General features: G+C 40.5%; 1 annotated feature.

Annotated features, from left to right (window-relative positions):
* Positions 278-1,477: an enhancer, noted in NCBI's record as "P300/CBP strongly-dependent group 1 enhancer chr5:45722136-45723335 (GRCh37/hg19 assembly coordinates)". NCBI's record gives its function as "activates an origin of replication core promoter dependent on BRD2, BRD4, P300/CBP, MED14 and CDK7 cofactors, with strong dependence on P300/CBP, by STARR-seq in HCT116 cells {active_cell/tissue: HCT116}" and the evidence as "EXISTENCE:reporter gene assay evidence [ECO:0000049][PMID:35650434]".

The raw sequence follows: 3,285 nt of genomic DNA, 5'->3' as shown, positions 1-3,285 counted from the left end.
TAGAAATTTTGTGAAGGTAGAACTTTGCAGTTCTATTTATTATTCAATTCCCATGACCTAGAAGTGATTGGATTCAGGACATAGCTAGGATATAGCAGACATTCAGTAATTAACTGAGGGAATTAATGTATGATTTTGCAGAAAAAAATAATTTGTATTATAACAGAAAAAGCTGGGCATAGGCAAAATTGTGAAGGAAGCTTAGTTCACTTTTTATCTCCCTCAATACCCTTTTCATTTTCTTTCTCCTCCTTTTGGAGGCTAGCAGTAGTGTGATGGAAAGAACATGGAGCCTAGGATGGCAAAGATTTGTGTTTCATCCCTGGTTATATAATATTGGGCAATGTACTTACCTCCCTAAGACTTGGTCATTCTCTTCTTCAAAGTGGGAATGATGATCTCACGTTGTAGAATTGTTATAAATATTAAATGATATTAAGGATATAAAATAAATTGTTTAGTGTAGTTTTGGCACATTGTAGGTATTCAATTAAGGCCCTTTTCTTTTTTCTCTTTCAGCATCCCTTCTTTTCTACTTAATGCTACTCAAGAGTCCACAGGACTAAATGCTGTGTTTCAGGGTCTGACAAAGGTCTTGAGCTCTCTGGAGGCTAACGATGTCTCATACCACTTGCTTATTTTAAAACGATTGCTTTAAACTGAGATCCTAGAGATGTGTGGTATACACAGTCCATGGCGGTGTATGGCACAGCCACTGTGTAGCCATAGACACTATTAGGGATTTGCCCAGATTCTCTCAGATCCCTTCCGCTCCTCTGTGTATACCTCCTCAGGTATCTATGTGCTTCTGCTTGGGGCCAGCACCCAGTATCCTGTGGGGGAACTACTCTTGGGCTACTAAAGCCACTTTGTCTCTGGAATTAGAGAGCCAGAAATACTTAAGAGTTTATATCCACCCACCATCACACCCATTAACTGACTCATGTGGGAACAAAAAAGGTCAGTTTCGGCCCAGTGCAGTGGCTCATGCCTGCAATCCCAGCACTTTGGGAGGCCGATGTGGGTGGATTACCTGAGGTCAGAAGTTTGAGATCAGCCTGACCAATATGGTGAAACCTTGTCTCTACTAAAAATAAGAAAATTAGCCTGGTGTGGTGGAGGACACCTGTCATCCCAGCTACTCAGGAGGCTGAGGCAGGATTGCTTGAACCCAGGAGGCAGAGGTTGCAGTGAGCTGAGATCATGCCACTGCACTCCAGCCTGGGAGACAGAGCAAGATGAAAAAAAAAAGTTTCCTTGCCTCTTAACAGGATAAACTCTGAAATCTCCTCTAGAATCAGCCTTCCTCCATGGGATTGTGTCTCCTTCAGATCCTAAGGGTGGTCTGCAGCACTGGCTCTTTTGTGCTCATTTCTTAACATACTTGGCAGTTCCCTGAGGCTGACCCCAATCCTGCATATTGAGTCACCACATATCAGGACTCTCTTCTCTGTCTCCCATTCTCCCCGAAGATAAGCACCATCTCTGACCATGACCCAGGTTGACATTCTTTTAAATGACAGGAAAAGGGGCACTTATTTCCCCTCAAATCATTTTTCTATTCTATAATTATGGCCCCAACTCTGTGCTTAATTTTTCATGTACATTTTGTTTGATCCTTCAAAATGCAACTTGGAAGTTAACAAAACAAACACGAATCCTTCCTTTTTCCCCCTCTCATTCCCTTGTAACAATTCTGCTTCTCTTTGAACCAATGCAGAGGGCTGATGGCACTGATGGACTAAAAGAGAACTGGAGAAAATAAAACAGTGAATATATACAATTCAAAATAATTTCTCAGTGCATTCTAGGTTAGAAATCAGCATTAGCAAACAGGGTTTCACTGTAGCCTACAGATTTCTTATTGGTTTGTTTAAGAGACACCTTGCTATGCTCTAGAAGTGCTAGATGAATAATACATGGCCCTTGTGGAGCTAACAGTCTATGAGACTTTAAATACCATGCAAAATGTGTGCCCAGAGTAAAATGGTAGCACTGAGAAGTAGCACTGAGTTAATGTGGCTTAGTGAAATGCACATTGGAGGTGAGGACACTGAAGCTGCCTTGAAAGATGAGAAAGGTCTAGTCAGGTTAGGAAAACAGAAAGATCATTTCACATCAAGGGAGTGGCCAGAGAGAAGCCCGTAAGACTTACTCAGAGTGTTCTGGGACAAGGACTAAAAACAGATTTGTGTTATTTAAACATAAAATACGAGACAGGCACTACTGGAGATGAGGTGAAAGAAAGGAGACAGATTCTGTGTTCATGATTTTGACCACGAAAGGCTTGGAGAAGGGGAATAACATGGCCAAATTTGTGTTTTCGGTAGTTTTCACTGATTGTGTCAAAAAATGGACTCCAGGAAGCAAAACTGAAATCCTGGCACAGCTGTTGTGAGCCTGAATTAGAACAGGGCCAAGGAAGGATGATGAGGAAGGGAAAGTTTCCAGAAAGTAACTTCAATGGCAAGAATCTAGAAAAGGTCTAGGAATTCTGCACACCCTCCTTAAATGCCCTTCCCCGGCCTCCACATCACTATTGGCAAGAATTATTAAGATGCCTCAGACTTTCTCTTGCTCCTGGCAAGAAATCCTCTCCATTCACGTGTGAGTAAAAAATCTCATTATTTCCTTTATCCCCATTTACATCATTCATCACAAGAAGCCCAGAGACTCCCAGGTCATTTTTCATCCCTGGATTCTAATCCCCATCTGGCTCTTGAAGCAGTGAGATACTCCCCATTCTTTCTGGCTGTCCCTAAACACTTTCTTCAAGATTCATTTTTCCTCAAAGCATTTATCACCTTCTGACATGCTGTAGATTTTACTTATTTATTTGATTGTTCCATTCTTTCACCCCCTCCCCCACCATAGACACATGTACTAGAATTTAAACTCTATCCTGGCAACTATTTTTGTCAATTTATTCATGGCTATTTGCCCAGTGCTTAGGGCAATATTTGACACAATAAACGTTTGTAGAATTGGTAAATTTGAAAGTAACAACAGGATCTATCAACTATACTTCTAGGGTAAGAGAAAGAGAGCAGTTGCAACTGATTTCAAGTTTTTGGCTTCGGTGACCTGACAGTATAATTTTAAATATTTGCTAAAATCAGAAATGATTCCCTTCTACAGGCTTTACTAATTTTGTTTTTTTTTTAAATTTTAGTCAGAGAGCATTTCCATGGAACTTTGCAAGCATTGCATGTTTTATTTGTTGCAACCAGTAAAATTTATCTTTGGGGAAAATTTCACAAAGATTTCACAAAAAAGTATGACTGT

The sequence above is a fragment of the Homo sapiens genome, chromosome 5 (genome assembly GCF_000001405.40).
Source record: "Homo sapiens chromosome 5, GRCh38.p14 Primary Assembly".
In the NCBI taxonomy this organism is placed as follows: Eukaryota; Metazoa; Chordata; class Mammalia; order Primates; family Hominidae; genus Homo; species Homo sapiens.
Note: the sequence above shows the minus strand (reverse complement) of the source record. Positions and strands in the feature narration are given on the sequence as shown.